General features: G+C 41.5%; 1 long non-coding RNA gene across 1 annotated transcript in view; it reads left to right on the forward strand.

Annotated features, from left to right (window-relative positions):
* LOC105375277 (uncharacterized) overlaps positions 1-23582 on the forward strand; it is a 35365-nt gene extending 11783 nt beyond the window's left edge. Inside the window, exons 2-3 of the long non-coding RNA XR_927260.4 lie at positions 14454-14612; positions 23465-23582. This is a non-coding gene — a long non-coding RNA (uncharacterized LOC105375277). The remainder of the gene's footprint in view (positions 1-14453; positions 14613-23464) is intronic.
* Positions 23583-23798: the final 216 nt, after the last annotated feature.

Consider the following 23798-nt stretch of genomic DNA (forward strand, 5'->3'; position numbering starts at 1 on the left):
GGCCTTCTTTGTCTCTTTTGATCTTTGTTGGTTTAAAATCTGTTTTATCAGAGACTAGGATTGCAACCCCTGCTTTTTTTTTGCTTTCCATTTGCTTGTTAGATCTTCCTCCATCCCTTTATTTTGAGCCTATGTGCATCTTTGCACGTGGGATGGGTCTCCTGAATACAGCACATTGATGGGTCTTGACTCTTTATCCAATTTGCCAGTCTGTGTCTTTTAATTGGGGTATTTAGCCCATTTACATTTAAAGTTAATATTGTTATATGTGAATTTGATCCTGTCATTATGATGTTTGCTGGTTATTTTGCCCATTAATTGATGTAGTTTCTTCATAGCATCGATGGTCTTTACACTTTGGCATGTTTTTGCAGTGGCTGGTACCAGTTGTTTCTTTCCATGTTTATTGCATCCTTCAGGAGCTCTTGTAAGGCAGGTCTGGTGGCGAGAAAAATCTCTTAGCATTTGTTTGTCTGTAAAGGATTTTATTTCTGCTTCACTTATGAAGCTTAGTTTGGCTGGATATGAAATTCTGGGTTGAAAATTCTTTTCTTGAAGAATGTTGAATACTGGCCCCCACTCTCTTCTGGCTTGGAGAGTTTCTGCTGAGAGATCTGCTGTTAGTCTCATGGGCTTCTCTTTGTGGGTAGCCTGACCTTTCTCTCTGGCTGCCCCTAACACTTTTTCCTTCATTTCAACCTTGGTGAATCTGACAATTATGTGTCTTGGGGTTGCTCTTCCTGAGGAGTATCTTTGTGGTTTTCTCTGCATTTCCTGAATTTGAATGTTGGCCTGCCTTGCTCGGTTGGGGAAGTTCTCCTGGATAATATCCTGAAGAGTGTATTCCAACTTGGTTCCATTCTGCCTTTCAATTTCAGATACACCAATCAAACATAGATTTGGTCTTTTCACATAGTCCCATATTTCTTGGAGTCTTTGTTCATTTCTTTTTACTCTTTTTTCTCTAACCTTGTTTTCTCACTTTATTTAATTAATTTGATCTTCAATCACTGATACCCTTTCTTCCACTTGATCGAATCGGCTACTGAAGCTTGTGCATGCGACACAAAGTTCTCGTGCCATGGTTTTCAGCTCCATCAGGTCATTTAAGGTCTTCTCTACTCTGTTTATTCTGGTTAGCCATTTCTCTAATCTTTTTTCAAGGTTTTTAGCTTCCTTGTGTTCAGTTCGAACATGATCCTTTAGCTCGGAGAAGTTTGTTATTACCAACCTTCTGAAGCCTACTTCTGTCAACTCATCAAAATCATTCTCCATCCAGTTTTGTTCTGTTGCTGGCAAGGAGCTGCAATCCTCTGGAGGAGAAGAGGTGGTCTGATTTTTAGAATTTTCAGCTTTTCTGCTCTGGTTTCTCCCCATCTTTGTGGTTTTATCTACCTTTGGTCTTTGATGTTGGTGACCTACGTATGGGGTTTTGGTGTAGATGACCTTTTTGTTGATGTTGATGCTATTCCTTTCTGTTTGTTAGTTGTTCTTCTAACAGTCAGAGCCCTCAGCTGCAGGTCTGTTGGAGTTTGCTGGAGTTCCACTCCAGACTCTCTTTGCCTGGGTATCACCAGCAAAGGCTGCAGAACAGCAAATATTGCAGAACAGCAAATATTGCTGCCTGATCCTTCCTCTGGAAGCTTCATCTCAGAGGGGCACCTGCCTGTATGAGGTATAAGTCAGCCCCTACTGGGAGATGTCTCCCAGTTAGTCTACACAGGGGTCGGGGACCCACTTGAGGTGGCAGTCTGTCTGCTCTCAGAGCTCAAACGCCATGCTGGGAGAACCACTGCTCTCTTCAGAGCTGTGAGACAGGGACATTTAAGTCTGCAGAGGTTGTCTGCTGCCTTTTGTTCAGCTATGCCCTGCCCACAGAAGTGGAGTCTAGAAGCAGTAGGCCTTGTTGAGCTGCAGTGGGCTCCACCCAGTTCAAGCTTCCTAGCTGCTTTGTTTACCTACTCAAGCCTCAGCAATGGTGGATGCCCCTCCCCAGCCAGGCTGCTGTCTTGCAGATTGATCTCCAATTGCTGTGCTAGCAGTGAACAAGGCTCCATGGGCATGGGAGCCACAGAGCCAGGCACGGGAGATAATCACCTTGTCTGCTGGTTGCTAAGACCTTGGGAACAGCACAGTATTTGCATGGGGGTGTCCTCTTTTTCCAGGTAGTCTGTCGTGGCTTCCCTTGGCTAGGAAAGGGAAATCCTCTGACCCCTTGTGCTTCCCAGGTGAGGCAACGCCCTGCCCTGCTTTGGTTCACCCTCCATGGGCTGCACTCACTGTCCAACCAGTCCCAATGAGATGAACCAGATACCTGAGTTGGAAATGCAGAAATCACCCATCTTCTGCATCCATCATGCTGGGAGTGGCAGACCAGAGCTGTTCCTATTTGGCCATCTTGGAATGGCCCCTTAAGATCTGATGGTTTTATAAGGGGCTTCCCCCTTAACTGGGTTCTCATTCTTTCTCCTGCCACCCTGTGAAGAAGTGTCTTTTGCCATGATTGTAAGTTTCCTGAGGTTGCCCCAGCCATGAAGAACTGTGAGTCAGTTAAACTTCTTTTCTTTATAAATTACCCAGCCTTGGGTATTTCTTCATACCCAACATGAGAAATATATAGCATGAGAATGGACTAATACAGTAAATTGGTACTGAGGGAGTGGGTTGCTGCTATAAGGATACCCAAAAATGTGGACATGACTTTGGAACAGGGTAACAGGCAGAGGTTGGAACAGTTTGGATGGCTCAGAAGAAGACAGAAAGATGTAGGAAAGTTTGGAACTTCCTAGTGACTTGGAGGGCTGAGAAGAAGACAGGAAAATGTGAAAAAGGTTGAAACTCCCTAGAGACTTGTTGAATGGTTTTGACCAAAATGCTGATAGTGATATGGACAATGAAGTTTAGGCTGAGATGGTCTCAGATGGAGATGAGGAACTTGCTGGGAACTGGAGTAAAGGTGACTCTTGTTATACTTTGCCAAAGAGACTGGCAGCATTTTACCTATGGCCTACAGATCTGTGGAATTTTGAACTTGAAAGAGATTATTTACGGTATCTGGTGGAATAAATTTCTAAGTAGCAAAGCATTCAAGAGGTGACAGGGCATAAAAGTTTGGAAAATTTTCAGCCTGACAATGCAGTAGAAAAAGAAAAACCCATTTTCTGGGGAGACATTCAAGCCTGCTGTAGAAATTTGCATAAGTAACAAGGAGCCAAATGTTAATTGCCAAGATAATTGGGAAAATGTCTCCAGGGCATGTCAGAGACCTTCACAGTGGCTCCTTCCATCACAGGCCCAGAAGCCTTGGAGGGAAAATTGGTTTTGTGGGCTGGGCCCAGGGCCCCCCTGCTCTGTGCATCCTTGGGACATGGTGCCCTGCATCTCACCTGCTTCAGTCCCAGCAGTGGCTAAAAGGGGCCAACATATAGCTTGGGCTATTGTTTCAGAGGGTGCAAGCCCCAAGCCTTGATGGCTAACATGTGTTGTTGGGCCTGCTGGTGCACAGAAGTCAAGAGCTGAGGTTTGAGAACCTCTGCCTAGATTTCAGAGGATGTATGGAAACACTTGGATGTCCAAGCAGAAGTTTGCTACAGTGGAGGAGCCCTCATGGAGAACCTCTGTTAGGGCACTGCAGAAAAAGAAATGTGGGGCTGGAGCCCCCACACAGAGTCCCCACTGGGGCACTGCCTAGTGGAGCCGTGAGAAGAGGGCCACTTGCCTCCAGATCCCAGAATGGTAGATCCACTGACAGCTTGCACTGTGCACCTGGAAAAGCTGCAGGCACTGAATGCCAGCCATGAAAGCAGCCAGGAGAGGGGCTGTACCCTGCAAAGCCACAAGGGCAGAGCTGCCCAACCCCATGGGAGGCCACCTCATGCATCAGCATGACGTGGATGTGAGACATGAAGTCAAAGGAGATAATTTTGGAATTTTAAGATTTAATGACTGCCCTGTTGGATTTTGGACTTGCATAGGGCCTTTAGCCCCTTTGTTTCAGCCAATTTCTCCCATTTGGAACTGGTTTATTTATCCAATGCCTGTACCCCCATTGGATCTAGGAAGTAACTGACTTTTGATTTCACAGGCTCACAGGTGGAAGGGACTTGCCTTATCTCAGATGAAACTTTGGACTTGGACTTTTGGGTTAATGCTGCAATGAGTTGAGACTTTGGGGAACCGTTGGAAAGGCATGATTTGTTTTGAAATGTGAAGACCTGAGATTTGGGAGGGGCCAGGGGCAGAATGATATGGTTTGGCTGTGTCCTCAGCAACATCTTATGTTGAATTAGTTCCCATAATGCCCATGTGTTGTGGGAGGGACCCAGTGGGAGGTAATTGAATCATGGGGCAGTTTCTCCCATGCTATTCTCATGATAGTGAGTGAGTTCTCCTGTGATCTGAAGATTTTATAAGGGGCTTGCTCCTTTGCTGGATTCTCATTCTCTGTCGCTTGCCACTCTTGAAGAGGTGCCTTCTGCCATGACTTTAAGTTTCCTGAGGACTCCCCTGCCATATAGAACTGTGAGTCAATTAAACCTCTTTTCTTTATAAATTACCCAGTCTTGGGTATTTCTTCATAGCAGTGTAAGAACAGACTAATACAATTATTAATACAACCAAAAGGATGAATAGATAATCTCACAATAATGTATAATCTTGCAGGTGCTGATCATCTCTTTTCTTCTGCTTGTGTTCATTCTTTCATTCATGAATGACTGAGAGTTTGCACTTTCAAGATCTGAGGGTGAGCACTGAGCGGGAGATGTGATGGGGAATGAGATTTCAACAAATTTATCAGATGGCCACCTTTCAATAAATAATTGTATAGTTTGAGAATCAGGACAGACTCCTACAAAAATAAGAATTAAGGAGGCAGAAATGCACTTTACAAAATTTCACAGCTGAAAGCAGGTTCCAGCTATGGTAGTCCAGCCAGATGGAATGCCTAGCAGGATGCAAAGTTTTCTCTGTAGCAGTTTTGCTGCCTCAAAGATTTTCTGTGCCACCCACATAAACCACTGGAGAATAAACACAATGTTGGATATAGTCTGGAAATGAGTCTCTTGCATGAGGACTGTCTGAATGTTTTTCTTTGTTTCTCTTTTAAATGAAATGCTGTCCACAAATATATAGCTTTATTATTTGACTCTGAAGGAAACAATGACACTTACACCAGTAATGATTTGGAAAGACATTGTTTGCAAATAAGTAGATCTGCCAAAAATGTTATCACTTTTTCAGTGAGTATGAAAGTCTTCTTGTGGGAGGTGGAGGGGAAAAAGCTTCTGTTTTCTTTTTTTTTTCTTTTTTCTTTTCTTTTTTTTTCTTTTTTTTGAGACAGAGTTTCGCTCTTGTTGCCCAGGCTGGAGTGCAATGGTGTGATCTTGGCTCACTGCCAAGCCTCCTGGGTTCAAGCGATTCTCCTGCCTCAGCCCCCAGAGTAGCTGGGATTACAGGCATGTACCACTACCCCAGCTAATTTTGTATTTTTAGTAGAGATGGGGTTTCTCCATGTTGGTCAGGCTGATCTTGAACTCCTGACCTCAGGTGATCAGCCTGCCTCGGCCTCCCAAAGTGCTGGGATTACAGGTGTGAACCACCACGCCCGGCCAAAAGCTTCTGTTTTCTAAAGGTGTAAAATTTTACTTTTTGTAAAAAGTAATCACTTTTGCACCAACATAATAGTTTCTAGTGAGGCGACATGCATCAGCTATTTATTTTCAGAAGAAGACAAGTTTTCTCACCTGTGAAATGGGAGACTTGTATCTACCTCATGTGGTTAAACGTCTGGACAGTCAGTGTTGGAACATAATCATCAGGCTCTGTAGATGGTGGCTGTCACTGTACTCTTTATATCTAGGCCCTGTATGGTTTGGCAACTCTGAAAGGCAGACTGTGATGGGGAAGAAAAGTAAAGCTCATAAAGTTTGGATTCATGTGCTGGGTATCAGGTGGTTGTGTCTCCATCTCCACGGTAAAGACACAGAAAATTATGAGCATTAACATTTTTTTCAAACATTTGTTTGAAATTTTATCCTAGAGAAGGTTCCCTCATGAACATTAATCAACTACTCACAGTGTGGTGTCATTTGGCCTTTGCTGCCAGAGGGTGAGGCTCTGGGAGGAGGCAGCTATGAGACTGAGGAGTAAAACGTGTCTCTATCAACCAAAAATATCTCTATTATTTAAACTTCGAGTAAACTTAAAATACACACTGAGCACCTCCCCTTCCCATACCAAACCAATGGACAGGATGCCATGGTTATAATCCTCGGTGGTGTATCTCGGCCTCAACCTTTTTGGGGTGGAGCTCAGTGCCTGTTTGTAATATACAAGCCCTTCAGCCCTTGAATCTTTAGGGGATTCCCAAAATGCATTTCCCTTTGGACTTCAAGCCTCCTTTTTCCTTTATTTCCATATTTCCTCCAATGATTCAATCCTTTTTTTTTTTTTTTTTTGAGATGGAGTTTCGCTCTTGTTGCCCAGGCTGGAGTGCAATGGCATGATCTTGGCTCACAGCAACCTCCGCCTTCCAGGTTCAAGCTATTCTCCTGCCTCAGCCTCCCGAGTAGCTGGGATTACAGGCATGTGCAACCACACCTGGCTAATTTTGTATTTTTAGTAAAGATGGGGTTTCTTCATGTTGGTCAGGCTGGTGATTCATTTCCTCTTGAAGCTTCACAGTGTGCGTTACAAACAATCCTCTTCTGTCTTCATCTTGTTCCCAGCAAGCTCTCTCTGCTGCTTGCCTTTGTGGACAACAGATCCCTTCTGAGAACCTACGTCCATGATGGTCCTTTTGAGATGTCTGACCTTTTTTGGACACTCCACATACCCATAGCCTGTTAGAAACAGTGGTGACTTCTTGGCTTCCCCTTGCAATTTCCAGATTCTTCCAGTATTATGCAAAAACCCTTTCTTCCTGTTTCACAGATTCTGGCATCCCTTAAGTGTAGGCCTACACTTATTAAGGATTTTGGAAATTTCCTTCATGCTCCATTAAGTTCTAGGGGAATTTTCTTCTTTTCTTTCTTTTCTTTCTTTTTTTTTTTTTTTTTTTTTTTTTGAGATGGAATTTTGCTCTTGTTGCCCAGGCTGGAGTGCAATGGTGCAATCTCAGCCCACTGCAACCTTCACCCCCGGGGTTCAAGTGAGTCTCCTGCCTCAACCTTCTGAGTAGCTGGGATTACAGGCATGTGCTACCACACCCAGCTAATTTTTGTAGTTTTAGTAGAGATGGGGTTTCTCCATGTTGGTCAGGCTAGTCTTGAACTCCCGACCTCCAGGTGATCCACCCCCCTCGGACTCCCAAAGTACTGGGATTACAGACCTGAGCTACCACGCCCGGCCAAGTTCTAGGGGAATTTTCTATCCAACATTCAAGACTCACATACCTTGCTTATTTAAATAAAATAATTTTCACACTGATTTGACTTCTGCCATCTCAGAACCATAAGTTTGAGCAGGTCATAATCCAGGACCACTCCGTGTCGACAAATTCAGTCTCCAGCAGTCTTTATGAGGCCCTTAGACCTCACAAAGGAGTTCGTCTCCAGCCTCTCTTGTGGCCCTCTTGGGTCTCTGCTTCCTGCTCTTTGCTGCTCTCCAGCTCAGGTGCTGGGGTCGGGGTCACCAGCCTCTTCCCAGGCACCTCCCCTTCCCCAGTCTCCCCAGCTCCTGTCCAGATGGACATCCATTGCATAACCACTGATGTATTATACGTTCTCTTCCAGCATGAAACACTACTTTTATGAGCTCCTCTTTCCTGCACTTTTCTAACTTTCCCTTCTCAACCTCTTCCTTTTATAGCCAGCCCAAGATGTCCTAAGAAAAGTGATAAAAGCACTTAAGAACTCCAGCTCTAGGTCATGGGCATGTTGGACAGCAGAACCTGGTGAGATAAAAGGATAAAGACTGTTGACCCCCCCAGCCCGAGGGGCCACCCCTGCAACTCCACACGCACCATCTCATCCCAGGCAGAGGCTCCACATTTGTAGGCACCCTCAGTTACTAAGGGCCTAGTTCAATTATGTCCATTTAGAAACTTGAATCTCAGATCCAACAGAAACCCAATTTCCTTCCCCAACCCTTGCCCCCAATACTGGCCATGTGCAAATGGACCGTGTAGGGGAGGGCATGGCATGGATGACGTGGTTGTGAAATGAGTGAGGGAAAGGCCTCAATCATCAAGGCTTATTCAGCCAGCTTCAGTGTGTGCTGGGAAAATCATGAGCCACAGACACATGTGTGGCTGTTTTCCCAAAGAGGTTTTCAGGAGGTTTCATATTTATACCATTTCCTTAAATAGGGGAGGACATGTAGAGAGAGGGGCCAGCAGGTGGTAAGGCGAGTGGTTACATTCCTGTGAGACTTTGGTCAGTGCCTGGTAAATATACATTTTAACTAAGATAAGGTGGATGCATGAATAGAGAAGGAATGAGGTAGAGGAAGGGCTGATCTCATCTAGACCTGGTTCTGCACCTGGGAAGAGGAGCTTGTTATTGACATTAGTGTGGAATGTGACTTTAGTTATAGGAGCTAGACTTAGATTGCAGGCCTAACATTACAACTGGCATGTCCTTGCTTATGGGAGGGCAGACAAAGAATTGATTTATGAAAGGTCTGTGAGGGACAGCCCTGTGCAGATGCCTGAGGTGCTTCACCTTTCCATGAGGACCTGGCTGATGCATAGCACTGGTCACAGCTATTCATTTGGAAGGGGGCGTTGCATGACTCAGCCTCCAGGCATAAGTTTGGGGGTCCTGAGATTTTTAGATTTTCCTTTACAATTATAAGGCCTGGGCAGTGAGGTCATCTCCAGGAAAGCGTAATCTATTTTCCTTCCCCAACCCACCCAGCTTCTATCTCTGAGCCAAACCGCAAGGACCCTCCTCCTCACCCTATAAAACTGCAGCCTTGCCTCTGCCTCAGCCGAGCGAGGCCTTTAGTGTCCATTTGAGTCACTTACACTCTTCCTCAGCATGGCTGCCTTGAAGCCTGTGCAGGGATCTGCCCTCCACATCACGCGTCCCTGTCCCCTCCGGATCTGCCCTCCACATCAGGTGTCCCTGTACTCTCCGTTTCTTCAGGCGGCCTTGCCAGATGCCCACCATGGTCATCTGCTTAAGGTGGCCCCTCCTCCTGTGGGGCTGCTGTTGTTTTATTGCAGTGCTGTTTTTCTTTTAAACTCTCCTTTTGCTTTTAGGCCTAGACATTTGTTTTTCTTCTAGGTTTCATGTTATGGATCCCCCAGGATGAGAAATGTGAAATAAACGATTTCTGGGTCTACCAAAACCATTTGCTGTCCAAATCAATCCTGCAACCTCTGCCTTCTCATTTTGAGAGGAGCCGCAGCCAGGCCACTACTGCGGCCTCTGGGTGGATTTCTGTGGGCAGCAGTGATGCTGAGGATGTCATGGTAACTGGATTTTGTTCCTCGGTGATCCTGAAATAGCAGGGGCAGGTGGGGTGAAGTGCCCCTGTGTACCCCTTTTCTATGTGTCTGGAGGCTGCCTCAAAATTCACATCCTTCTAAGGGAGCCCCTCTTTTTTTTTCCAGTATAATCAGGGCTTTTCCTTTCGTCTGCAACTGCCTCTCTTCTGATACTAATGACAAAATCTAGATTCACACCTAATCCAGCCTCTCACTGATCTCCTGAGGAAGCAGGATTCCTAGAGAAAATGTGAGGCCTATGCCCTCTTACAGAGCCTTTAGCTGGGTAAACAGCCACACCCTAGAAAAAGAAGCAGATTCCCCTATAATTGTATAATTGGCCCCTTGTCATTACCTGCTCCTTGATAACATTGATCATTCCTTTATGGCTGAGCTCACTGTCTGAGTCCTTGAAATCCAAGGACAGGCTTCAGGCTTACAATTTGTTTATTTTTAACAAACACTGCAACAGTGGAGTCCTCATGGGGCCGTGTGACTTAAAAAAAAAAAATTTCTCAGGACAAACCCCAAACACCAGGGGGTGACTGTCCTGCATCCTTCAAAGCCCAGCTGCAACACAGTTTGAAACGAGATGAAGACTAGTAAGATGTTTGAGGGAATGGAGTGGATGGCCAGGAACTTCAGTGGCAGGGTCTCCGCAGCCCTCCTGTAAAGGAACCACCGTGCTTGTTTAAGGCCCCTGCCTGCAGTCCTGGCTGAAAACACATTTTAAACGGAGCAAAAATAGTTCCCATGGCATTGGCTCAAAAGCCTGTGGTCTGTTTTGAGACAAGCCTTTCATCTCATTTCAGTCTCACCTCACAGGCTAAGGTCAAAGCCAGCGGTTGGCATTGCTTGTCCAGAGCTGACTAAAGTTTGTACCTTTTAAAAACAGCCAGGGGCCTATTAAACGCACAACTGGGTACCTATGGCTGCTGGACACAACAGGCTGCTGGGACCCCAAATGGTAAGTAAGAGTCCCCAGCCCCCACAGCCACTCTCGTTCCTTGGCCACCACCGAGACCTTCCACTTCCCACGTGTGAAGTTGGTCTTGCCTGCCGCTAGCTGCATGGACATGTCTCCTTTTCAATTTCCAGTTAAAACCCCTTTTGGTGAAGCTTAAAAAGACCCATAAACCACACCCCCTTTTTCCTCTAAATTCAGAAATGAATGAGAAATTGGCCAACATGAGAAAGGGTGAAAAATGAGCGTATTGGGGTAGCACTGGGCTGAGCAGAGCGTAAACCAGCTTCTGGGGCCAGGTGGGCTTCCTTCTCCTCCCACCCAGGTCAAGGTAGGTGGCAGGAATGGGCCCCTGCAGAGAAGGGCGTCCCTGTGCGTTCTGGCCTTGAAGAGAGCAGATGCCACTCAACCAGGAGTCTCGCCAGCAGGGAGAGAGAAGGTGGATTTGAACGCAAGGCCTCCAGTCAGTGGGGGAAGGGTAGATGTTGGATGCCACCCCCATAGGGCAGCTCATTCTCCCCTCTTTGGGAGGGTGAGTGGGTAGCTAGAGAAAGGTGGAGATGTGATCCTCCTAGGCTCTTCCTAACTCTGGAAGTGTGAGGTCACTGGGAAGCTTGTTGGAAATGCAGGTTGTCTGGTCCCACCCAGATGAATGGAATGAGAAATTCAGAGAGTGGGCTTGGTAACCCATGCTTGAACAAGCCTGCAAGATGATGCAGGTGCAGAGCAGAACTTCCCAACCTCGGTACAGTTGACATTTTGTGGACATAATTCTTTACTCAGTGTGTGTGTGTGTGTGTGTGTGTGTGTGTCCTGGATATTGTAGAATGTTTAGCAGCATCTCTGGTCCCTACCCACTAGATGCCAGTAGTACCCTTGACAACCAAAAGTGTTTCCAGCCATTGCTAAGTATCCCCAAGGGGGAAAAGTCACCTACAGAAATTTTTCTTTGAAACAGTAGCCCAGCAGAAGAGCGTATCCCTTACAATACACAGAGAAGAGGAAAACAAACAAATAAGCAAACTGAAAACACTGGGGAGAAATTTCACTGGCACTTAACAGCAGTTATTTCCAGGTCATGGGTTTTAAGTGATCTTTTTATTTTTTAAATTTTTTTTCTGTATTTTCCAAATGTGCTAAAATATTTTACATCTATACTCTAAAGAAATTCAAATGTGGCCAGGTGCAGTGGCTCACGCCTGTAATCTCAGCACTTTGGGAGGCCAAGGTGGCTGGATCACCTATGGTCAGGAGTTCAAGACCAGCCTGGCCAACCTGGTGAAACTCTGTCTCTACTAAAAATACGTAAAAAATTAGCTGGGCTTGATGGCGGGTGCCTGTAATCCCAGCTACGTGGGAGGCTGAGGCAGGAGAATCACTTGAACCCGGGAGGCGGAGGTTCAAGCGAGCGGAGATAGCGCCATTGCACTCCACCCTGGACAATAAGAATGAAACTCCATCTAAAAAAAATTAGAATTTAAAAGACGGTTTTGACAGCTTCCCTAACCCCCCTCTGTGGGCATGTTGGTTGGGGCCCTAAACCCAGGTTTCCTCTCCTTACTTGTCACGGCGTGCCTGGACGTGCGCACTCTGGGGTTTATTGAGGTGCTGATGCTATCCTACCGTACCCCATCCCCCATGAGTGCCCCTTGGCACAGGGTCATCCTCAACCTAAAGCTTCAGGAAGACAGAATGTGGATTCTAATGACAATGCCAGATCTGTTCAGAACACAAAAGACAAATATAGGAGTTAAATAGGAAGTTCGTGTTATCCTTGTGACTGTCATTCTGTAACTATCAATTGTAGACAAACTGGATTTTGTGAAAATGAAAACATTTCTGCATCAAAAGATAATATCAACAGAGTAAAAGGACAATCCACAGAATGGGTAAAAATAATTGAAAGTAGATTAATAACTAGAATATATAGAGAATTCCTAAAACTTAACAACAATAAATAAACAACCCTATTCAAAAATGGATTGAAGGACTTGAATGGACCTTTCTCTAAAGAAGACATACAAATGGTCCATAAGCACATGAAAAGATGCCCAACATCGCTAGTCATTAGGGAAGTGCAAACCAAATTGAGAGGCCACCTCACACCCATGAGGATGACTAGTATCAAAAATCAGGAATTTACAAGTGTGGGTGAGGAAGTGAAGAAATTGGAACTCTTGTATACTCTCTGTGGGAACGTAACATGTTACAGCCACTAAGACAACATGATAGTATCTCAAAAACTTAAAAAATAGAATTACCTTGTGATCCAATAATTCCACTTCTGGGTACATACTCAAAATAATTGAAAGCAGCATATCCAAGAGACATTTGTATGCCATGTTCATAGCTGCCTTATGTACACTAGCTAAAATGTGGAAGCAACCCAGGGGTCCATTGACATATGAATGTATAAACAAAACATGGTGTAAACAAACGATTTGGCCTTAAAGGAAGGGAATTCTGAGACATAATCCACATGGATTAACCTTGAGGACATTATGCTAAGTGAAATAAGCCAGTCACAAAAAGGCAAATACTGTGCAATTCCACTTATATGAGGTCCCTAGACTAGTCAAATTCATAAAGACAGAAAGTAGAATGGTGGTTTTCAAAAGCTGGGAGGAGGACAGAATGGGGAGTTTGTGTTTATCAGGTACAGAGTTTCCCTTTTACAGGATGAAAGGTTATGCAGATGGGTGGTGGTGATGGGTGCACAATATTATGAATATACTTAATATCACTAAACTGTGCACTTCATATGGTTAAGATGGTAAATTTTATGTTATTCTAATGCAATAAAAATGGAAAACAGTTTTAAAAAGCAAAAATATAAATTATTGTGTTTCTACCACATGTCACACCATGATGAAAAGGAAACGGTCTTCTGAGGCCATTGCAGTGATGGGAGAAGCAGCTCAGGGACATGTGGGAAGCACAAGGAGGGATGTCAGGGGAGCAGCTTCTGGGGAGTCACAGAGCCTTCACAGCAAAGCTGGCACTTGACCTGGGCCCTGAGAGAAGTTTACCAGGCACAGAACATGTCAGAGAGAGAAACACGTATGAGTGAAGGCATGCAGGCCCCAGAGAGCACAGGTGATCCAGCAATAAAGCAGCCAAGGGGTTTGGGTGTGGCGTGCACACTGGAGGATCTGGACTGCCGCCTTTCCATCCAGGTGACGTTGACAATTTATTTTATGTCTTCGCCTGTTAAGTGGGGGCAGTTTTGTTGGAAAGATTAAATATGTGAAATGAAATCAGGCCTCTAGCAGGGTACCTGGTAGTGCTAAATTCGTGAATGACTTGCAACAAAGCTGCAAGAGATTTCATCCAGACTACATCATGAGGTGACAGCAAGAAGGATGACAAGAGAAAGAGCTCCATGTGTCGTGTAACTTGAATCTTGTGGATTATGGACACGATTCCTTTTAGACAGATTATCTTGAGAGGCTGTGTAGAAGATCAGCTTGAGGGGCTTCAAATGTAATCAGAAAAACAATTAAGAAGCAATTTTCACAGTCTAGGCAAGGGCTGGTGCAGGACTGAGCTGAGGCAATAGCAGTGGTTCAGGGAGACAGAGCAGGATCAGAGATACTTCTGCGCTGGGCTCTTGTTCCACATATTTCTATTTTTAGATCTTAGTGTAATGCCAGGTTCTTTGCAAAAGGCACTGTTATATTTACTAATTTCCAGCTTCTGGTTTATTCTGTATTATATGAATTGCTGGGTAAATGTATGCCCTTTCAAGTAATATAATGTTCTCACTCTCAGGCCAGAAAGACCTGCCAAGTCTAATCTGTTGCCATATAATAGACCTGTTCTTTCTGAAGTAGTTTTCTCATTTACAAATGGCCACAAAACTAATGTGGCTGTGTTATTATTCCTATCTGCACTCCTACAAGTGAAAAATAGATCTACGTATTGTTTGAATGTTGAACACTAAGTAAAGGTGACATGGCCTTGCTTAAAACTTCCAATCCAAGCACTCATATGAGATGGCCAAAGCCAAGGCTCTGACCCCAATCATGTGTTTAAACCCCATTTGCTCCTGTGCAGGTGGAAAATGCAATCTGGAGTGTTCCTGGGGAGCTCTGCTGTGTAAACCTTGGCTTTACAGTGAGAAGACGGGCTGATCACAGATGTGAACCGTCAGGTAACCAGGGCTGCAGTGAGAGCCACAGATTTCATGGGAAGTGGAAGAGGAGATGGAAAGAGGTGAGTATGGTGATGGGAGTAATGACATTTAGTGTATAGAGTAAGCAGACAAGGAAGGTGGTTAGATAAAAAACTCACATGGTGGACTTTTAAATGGCAATAAAGTATAACGTTGTAGATGATGTACCTCCTGGCAAGTGATCCACTCTGTCCCCAGGTCTCAAACAGCCCTGTGTTAATTCATGGATCAGATTCACTGGTCTAATTCTATATTTAATAATGACTTTATAGAGATGTATACCATAAAATTCACCCTTTTAAAGTATACAAACCAGTGTTTTTAGTCTATTCACCGGGCTGTGCAACCATCACTACTATCTAACTTTAGAAAATTATTAGCACAAAAAGAAATCCAGTACCCATTAGCACTCACTACCGATTTGCCTCTCCCCTAATCCCCTGGAAACCACTAATCTACTTTAGGTCTTCATGAACTTTTCTATTCTGGGCTTTTCATATAATGCAATCAACAGTTTGTGCTCTTTCATGACTGGCTTCTTTCACCCAGCAAAACAGTTTCGGGGTTAATCCATGTAGCGTGAGTCAGTACTTCATTTCTTTTTATGGCTGAAAAAGATTCCATTGTATGTATATAATACATGATGTTCACCCATTAATAAGCTGATAGACATTTGAGTTTACACTTTTTGGTGGTTGATGCTGCTTAGAACATTGATACACAAGTTTTTGTGTGGACACATGTTTTTAATTATCTGAGTATACACCAAGAATAAAATTTCTCAGTTATATGAAGTTTATATTTAAGATTTTGAGGAGTTGTCAAACTATTTTCCAGAGTGGTTGTACCATTTTACACCAAACTAGCAATGTATGAGACTTCCATTTTCTTCAGGTCTTCACAAACACTTCATCTTTTTTATTTTAGCTATCCTAAAATTAAAAAAAGATAGCTAAAAGGATAGTGTGAACTGGTATCTCATCATGATTTTGATTTACATTTCGTAATGACTGGTGCTGAGGAGCATTTTTTCATATGCTTATTTGCCATTTCTTTTTTAAAATTAAATTAAATTAAAATTTTAAAAAATTTCCATAGGTTATTGGGGTACAGGTGGTGTTTGGTTACATAAGTAAGTTCTTTAGTGGTGATTTGTGAGATTTTGGTGCAGCCATTACCTGAGCAGCGTACACTGCATCACATTTGTAGTCTTTAATCTCTTGGTCCCTCCCACCCTTCCCCTCAAGTCCCCAAAATCCATTGTATCATTCTTATGCCTTTGTTTCCTCATAGCTTAGCTCCCATATATCAGTGAGAACATATGGTGTTTTGTTTTCCATTCCTGAGTTACTTCACTTAGAATAATGGTCTCCAGTCTCATCCAGGTCGCTGCGAATGCCATTAATTCATTCCTTTTTATGGCTGAGTAGTATTCCATCTCATATATATATATATATATATATATATATATGCTGTGAATGGCATTAATTCATTCCTTTTTATGGCTGAGTAGTATTCCATCATATATATGAGATGGAATATATATATATATGGAATATACATATATGGAATATATATATGGAATATACATATATGGAATATATATATGGAATATACATATATGGAATATATATGTGTGAGTATATATATATATATGAGATGGAATATATATGTGTGTATATATATACGTGAGATGGAATATATATGAGTATATATATGGAATATATATATACCACAGTTTCTTTATCCACTTGTTTATTGATGGGCATTTGGACTGGTTCCATGATTTTGCAATTGTGAATTGTGCTGCTATAAACATGCATGTGCAAGTATAATGACTTCTTTTCCTCTGGGTAGATACCCAGTAGTGGGATTGTTGGATCAAATGGTAGTTCTACTTTTAGTCCTTTAAGGAATCTTTAAACTGTTTTCCATAGTGGCTGTAATAATTTACATTCCCACCAGCAGTGTAGAAGTGCTCCCTGATTACTGAATCCATACCAACATCTACTGTTGTTTGATTTTTTGATTATGGCCATTCTTGCAGGAGTAAGGTGGTATTGCATTGTGGTTTTGATTTGTATTTCTCTGATCATTAGTGATGTTGAGAATTTTTTCATATGTTTGTTGGCCATTTGTATATCTTCTTTTGAGAATTGTCTATTTATGTTGTTAGCCTACTTTTTGATGGGATTGTTTGTTTTTTTCTTGCTGATTTGTTGGAGTTCGTTGTAGATCCTGGATATTAGTCCTTTGTCAGATGTATAGATTGTGAAGATTTTCCCCCACTCTGTGGGTTGTCTGTTTACTCTGCTGACTGTTCCTTTTGCCATGCAAAAGCTCTTTAGTTTAATTAAGTCCCAACTATTTATCTTTGTTTTTGTTGTATTTGCTTTTGGGTTCTTGGTCATGAAATCCTTGCCCAAACCAATGTCTAGAAGGGTTTTTCTAAGGTTATCTTCTAGAATTTTTATAGTTTCAGGTCTTAGATTTAAGTCCTTAATCCATCTTGAGTTGATTTTTGTATAAGGTGAGAGATGAGGATCCAGTTTCATTCTCCTACATGTAGCTAGCCAATTATCCCAGCACCATTTGTTGAAAAGGGCATCATTTCCCCACTTTATGCTTTTGTTTGCTTTGTCAAACATCAGTTGGCTGTAAGTATTTGGGTGTAGTTCTGGGTTCTCTATTCTGTTCCATTGGTCTATGTGCCTATTTTTATACTGGTATCAAGCTGTTTTGGTGACTATGGCCTTATAGTATAGTTTGAAATCAGGTAGCGTGATGCCTCCAGTTTTGTCCTTTTTACTTAGTCTTGCTTTGGCTATGCAGGCTCTTTTTTGGTTCCATATGAATTTTAGAACTGTTTTTCCTAATTCTGTGAAGAATGATGGTGGTATTGTGATGGGGATTGCAATGAATTTGTAGATTGCTTTGACAGTATGGTCAATTTTCACAATATTGATTCTACCCATCCATGAGCATGGGATGTGTTTCCATTTGTTTGTGTTGTCTATGATTTCTTTCAGTAGTGTTTTGTAGTTTTCCTTGTAGATGTCTTTCTCTTCCTTGGTTAGGTATATTCTTAAGTTTTTTTTTTTCAGTAAAAGGGGTTGAATTCTCGATTTGATTCTCTGCTTGGTTGCTGTTCTTGTATAGAAGAGCTACTGATTCGTGTACATTAATCTTGTATCTAGAAACTTTGCTGAATTCTTTTATCGGTTCTAGGAGCTTTCTGTAGGAGTCTTTAGGGTTTTCGAGGTAAATGATCATATCATCAGCAAACAGTGACAGTTTGATTTCCTCTTTACTGATTTGGATGCTCTTGATTTCTTTCTCTTGTCTGATTGCTCTGGCTAGAACTTCCAGTACTACGATGAGGAGGAATGGTGAGAGTGGGCATCCTTGTCTTGTTCCAGTTCTCAGAGGGAATGCTTTCAACTTTTCCCCATTCAGTATTATGTTGGCTGTGGGTTTGTCATAGACGGCTTGTATTACATTCAAGTATGTCCCTTGTAGGCCAATTTTGCTGAGAGTTTTAATCATAAAGCAATGCTGGATTTTTGTCGAATGTTTTTTCTGCATCTATTGAAATGATCATGTGATTTTTGTTTTTAATTCTCTTTATGTGGTGTATCACATTTATTGACTTGCTTATGTTAAATCATCCCTACATCCCTGATATGAAACCTACTTGACCATGGTGGATTATCTGTTTGATATGTTGTTGGATTTAGTTAGCTAGTATTTTGTTAAGGAATTTAGCATCTATGTTCCTCAGGGATATTGGTCTGTTGTTTTCTTTTTTGGTTATGTCCTTTCCTGGTTTTGGTATTAGGGTGATGCTGGGTTCATAGAATGAATTAGGGAGGGTTCCCTCTTTCTCTAAGTGTTGAAAAGATTGGTACCAATTCTTGTTTGAATGTCTGGTAGAATTATGCTGTGAATCCATCTGGTCCTGGGCTTTTATTTTGGTTGGTAATTTTAAAATTACCACTTCAATCTTGCTGCTTGTTATTGGTCTGTTCAGGGTATCTATTTCTTCTTGATTTAAACTAGGAGGGTTGTATTTTTCCAGGAGTTTATCCATCTCTTCTAGGTTTTCTAGTTTATGTGCATAAACTTATGTGTTTTGTGTTCATAGTAGCCTTGAATGATCTTTTGTATTTCTGTGGTGTCAGTTGTAATAGCTCTCATTTCAGTTCTTATTGAGGTTTTTTGGATTTTCTCTTTTCTTTTCTTGATTAATCTTGCTAATGGTCTATCAATTTTATCTTTTCAAATAACCAACTTTTTGTTTCATTTATTTTTTGTATTTTTTTGTTTCAATTTCATTGAGTTCTGCTCTGATCTTGGTTATTTCCTTTCTTCTGCTGGGTTTGGGTTTTGTTTTTTCTTCTTTCTCTAGTTCCTTGAGGTGTGACCTTAGAATGTCAGTTTGTGCTCTTTCAGTATTTTTGATGGAGGCATTTAGGGCTATGAATGGTCCTCTTAGCACTGCCTTTGCTGTATCCTAGAGGTTGTGATAGGTTGTATCATTATTGTCATTCAGTTTGAAGAATTTTTAAATTTCCATCTTGATTTCATTGTTGACCCAATGATCATTCAGGAGCAGGTTATTTAATTTCCATGTATTTGCATGGTTTTGAAGGTTCCTTTTCAAATTGATTTCCAGTTTTATGTCACTGTGGTCTGAGAGAGTGCTTGATATAATTTCAATTTTCTTAGATTTATTGAGGCTTATTTTGTGGCCTATGATATGGTCTATCTTGGAGAAAGTTCCACATGCTGTTGAATAGAATGTGTATTCTGTGGTCATTGGATGAAATGTTCTGTATATATCTGTTAAGTCCATTTCCTCCAGGGTATAGTTTAAATCCATTGTTTCTTTGTTGACTTTCTACCTTGATGACCAGTCTAGTGATGTCAGTGTAGTATTGAAGTCCCCCACTATTATTGTGTTGCTGTTTATCTAATTTCTTAGGTCTACTAGTAATTGTTTTATAAATTTGGGAACTCCAGTGTTAGGTACATATATGTTTAGGATTGTGATATTTTCCTGTTGGAGATGGCCTTTTACCATTATACAATGTCCCTCTTTGTCTCGTTTAACTGCTGTTGCTTTAAAGTTTGTTTTGTCTGATATAAGAATAGCTACTCTCATTCACTTTTGATGTCCATTTGCATGAAATGCCTTTTTCAACCCTTTTACTTTATGTTTATGTGAGTCCTTATGTGTGAGGTGAGTCTCCTGAAGGCAGCAGATAGTTGGTTGGTGAGTTCTTATCCATTCTGCAGTCCTGTATCTTTTAAGAGGGGCATTTAGGAAATTTACATTCAATGCTAGTATTGAGAAGTGAGGTATCATTGTATTCATCATACTATTTATTGCCTGTGTACCTTGTTTTTTTTTTTTTTTTGTTTTTGCTTCTTAAATTGTATTTTTGTTTTATAGGTCCTATGTGATTTATGCTTTAAAGAGGCTCTGTTCTGATGTGATTCCAGGATTTGTGTCAGGATTTAGAGCTCCTTTTAGCAGATCTTGTAGTGGTGGCTTGGTAGTGGCAAATTCTCTCAGCATTTGTTTGTCTGAAAAAGACTGTGTCTTTCCTTCATATATGATGCTTAGTTTTGCTGGATACAAAATTCTTGGCTGATGATTGTTTTGTTTGAGGAGGCTGAAGATAGGGCCCCAATCCCTTCTAACTTGTAGGGTTTCTTCTGAGAAATCTGCTGTTAATCTGATAGGTTTTGTTTTATAGTTTACTTGGTGCTTTTGTCTCACAGCTCTTGAGATTCTTTCCTTCGTCTTAACTTTAAATAACCTGAGGACAATGTCCCTAGGTGATGAATTTTGTGATGAATTTCCCAGATGTTTTTTGTGCTTCTTGTATTTGGATGTCTAGGTCTCTAGCAAGGGTGTGGAAGTTTTCCTCAATTATTCCCCCAAATATGTTTTCTAAACTTTTAGATTTCTCTTCTTCCTCAGGAACACTGATTATTCTTAGGTTTGGTTGTTTAACATAATCCCAGACTTCTTGGAGGCTTTGTTCATATTTTCTTATTCTTTTTTCTTCATCTTTATTGGATTGGGTTAATTCAAAGACCTTGTCTTCAATCTCTGAATTTCTTTCTTCTACTTATTCAATGCTATTGTTGAGATTTTCCAGAGCATTTTGCATTTCTATGTGTGTCCAATGTTTCCCAAAGTTTTGATTGTTTTTTCTTTAAGCTCTCTATTTCCTTGAATATTTTTCCCTTCACTTCTAGTATCATTTTTTGGATTTCCTTGCATTGGGCTTCACCTTTCTCTGGTGCCTCCCTGATTAGCTTAATAACTAACCTCCTGAACTTTTTTTCAGGTAAATCAGGGATTTCTTCTTGATTTGGATTCATTGTTGGTAAGCTAGTGTGATTTCTTGGGGGTATTAAAGAGCCTTGTTTTGTCATATTACCAGGGTTTGTTTTCTGGTGCCTTTTCATTTGATTAGGCTCTGTCAGATGGAAGGTCTAGGGCTGAAGGTTATTGTTCAGATTCTTTTGACCAACAGGTTGTTCCCTTGATGTAGTACTCTCCTCCTTTTCCTATGGATGTGGCTCCCTGTGAGCTGAGTTGCAGTGATCATCATCTCTCTGTTGGGTCTACCCACCCAGCAAGTCTTCCTGGCTCTGGGCTGGTACTGGGGGTTGTCTGCACAGAGTCCTGTGATGTGAACGCTCTATGGATTTCTCAGCTGTGGATACAGCACCTGTTCTGGTGGAGGTGGTAGGGGGTGAAATGGACTCTGTGAGAATTCTTAGCTTTGGTGGTTTAATACTCTATTTTTTTGCTGGTTGGCCTCCTGCCAGGAGGTGGCACTTTCCAGAGAGCATCAGCTGTAGTAGTATTGAGAGGAACCGGCAGTGGGTGGGGCCCTAGAACTCCCAAGAGTATATACCCTTTGTCTTCAGCTACCAGGGTGGATAGGGAAGGCCCATCAGGTGGGGTCAGTACCAGGCATGTCTGAGCTCAGACTGTCATTGGGTAGGTCTTGCTGAGGCTGCTGTAGAGGAACTGGACGAGGTTCCCAAGTCAATGGAGTTGTGTACCTAGGAGCATTATGACTTCCCTTGCTGAGTCATGCAGGTTATCAGGGCAGTGGGGGAAAGTCGGCAGTCACAGTCCTCACCCAGCTCCCACATGATCTGAAGGGCTGGACTCAGTCTTACCGTGCCCCACGTAACAGCCTGAGTCTGTTTCCAGGCAGTGGGTGAACAGGGCTTGAGAACTTGCTCCAGGCTACCCACCTCCCCTCTGAGAAAGAACAGGGTTTTATTTCTTCCCCTGCCTGTGAAGTCTGAACACTGGATTCATGCCCTTCCCTGAGTTCTGGGCAGAAGGCTTTTCACCCAGTTCAAATGGTCACAAAATTGGTCAAATTGGAGACTACCTTCTCCTTGCAGCATTTTCCCCCCACAACTCTGGCTGCCCTCCCAAAGGGTCCCTGTGGTGCCAGGCAGAAATGGCCTGCTTGGGGACCCAGCAAGCTCGTTATCTTCTTTAGAGAAACGTGTGTTTGAGTCATTTGCTCATTTAAAAATTTGATTATTTGTCTTTTTATTGTTGAATTGCAGGAGGTCTTTATACTATTTTGGATACTAGGCCCTTATCAGATGCATGACTTTCAGATTCTTTGATTCTGTAGATCATCTTTTCACTTTTTTGATTGTGCCCTTTGAGGAACAGAAGTTTTAAATTTATCAAGTAGAATATGTCCACTTTTTTCTTTCATTGCTTGTGCTTCAGTGTCATGTCTAATGAAACATTGCTTAACCCAAGATCATGAGAATTTATTTCTATGTATTTTTTCCTAAGAGTTTTATAGTTTTAGTTTTTTTATTTAGGTGTTTGATTCATTTTTAGTTTTTGTATATGGTGTGAGGGGAGGATCTACCTTCATTATTTTGCATGTGGATATCCAGTTTTTCCAGCATCATTTGTTTTTATTTATTTTATTTTTTTATTTTATTATTATTATACTTTAAGTTTTAGGGTACATGTGCACAATGTGCAGGTTAGTTACATATGTATACATGTGCCATCCAGCATCATTTGTTAAAAAGATAATGTTTCCTTCTTGATTTGTCTTGACTTTCTTGTAAAACTACTAAATGATCATAAATGTAAGAGGTCATTTCTAGACTCTCAATTCTATTTCTTTCGTGTGTCTGTGTGTGTGTGTGTGTGTTTTCCTTAGAATTTTCTTTGTACGAATCATGTCACCTGTGAACAGAGAAAATTTTACTTCTTTCCTTCCAATCTGGATACTTTTTACTTTTTTTCCCCCTAATTTACCTGAATGGTAAAATTTTGAATAGAAATAATAAATGAATTTCCTTTTTTATTTTTTGGAAGACTTTGTGGCACATTGATGATTATTCATTAAGTATTTGAAATAATTTACCAGTGACACTATCTTGTTCTGGAGTTTTCTTTGTGGTTAGCTTTTCTGATTACTAATTTAACAGCTTTACTTCTTATAGATCTGTTCAAAATTTATTTTTATGTTTTTGTCCACTTTAGTGGTTTGTATCTTTTTAGGAATTTATCTATTTATTGACATATAATTTGTCATAGTATTCCCTTAAAATCCTTCTTGTTTATGTATGGTCAATAGTGATGTCCCCTTTTTGTTTACTTACATTGGTAATATAAATCTTCTCCCATTTGTTTCTGGCCAGCTAAAAGTTTGTCAATTTTGTTTATTTTTTTCAAATTTTATATATATCTATATAGTATATAAAAATTATACATATATAATTATATATATTATATATTTGTATATATAAATTTATATTTGTATATATTTATATATTTTATATATATATATATTTGTGTGTTTTTTTGTGACAGAGTCTTGCTGTGTCACCCAGGCTGGAATGCAGTGTCACGATCTCAGCTCCCTGCAACCTCTGCTTCCTGGGTTCAAGCGATTCTCCTGCCTCAGTCTCCTGAGTAGCTGGGATCACAGGTGTGTGCCACCATGCTTGGCTAGTTTTTGTATTTTTTTAGTAGACAGGGTTTTGCCATGTTGGCCGGGCTGGTCTCAAACTCCTAACTTCAGGTGATCCACCCACCTCAGCCTTCCAAAGTGTTGGGATTACGGCGTGAACCACTGCACTCAGCCAAATAATACATTTTTGATTTCAATATTTTTTCTACTGGCTTTCTTTTTTTAAAATTTATT

This window comes from Homo sapiens, chromosome 7 (genome assembly GCF_000001405.40).
Source record: "Homo sapiens chromosome 7, GRCh38.p14 Primary Assembly".
Classification (NCBI taxonomy): Eukaryota; Metazoa; Chordata; class Mammalia; order Primates; family Hominidae; genus Homo; species Homo sapiens.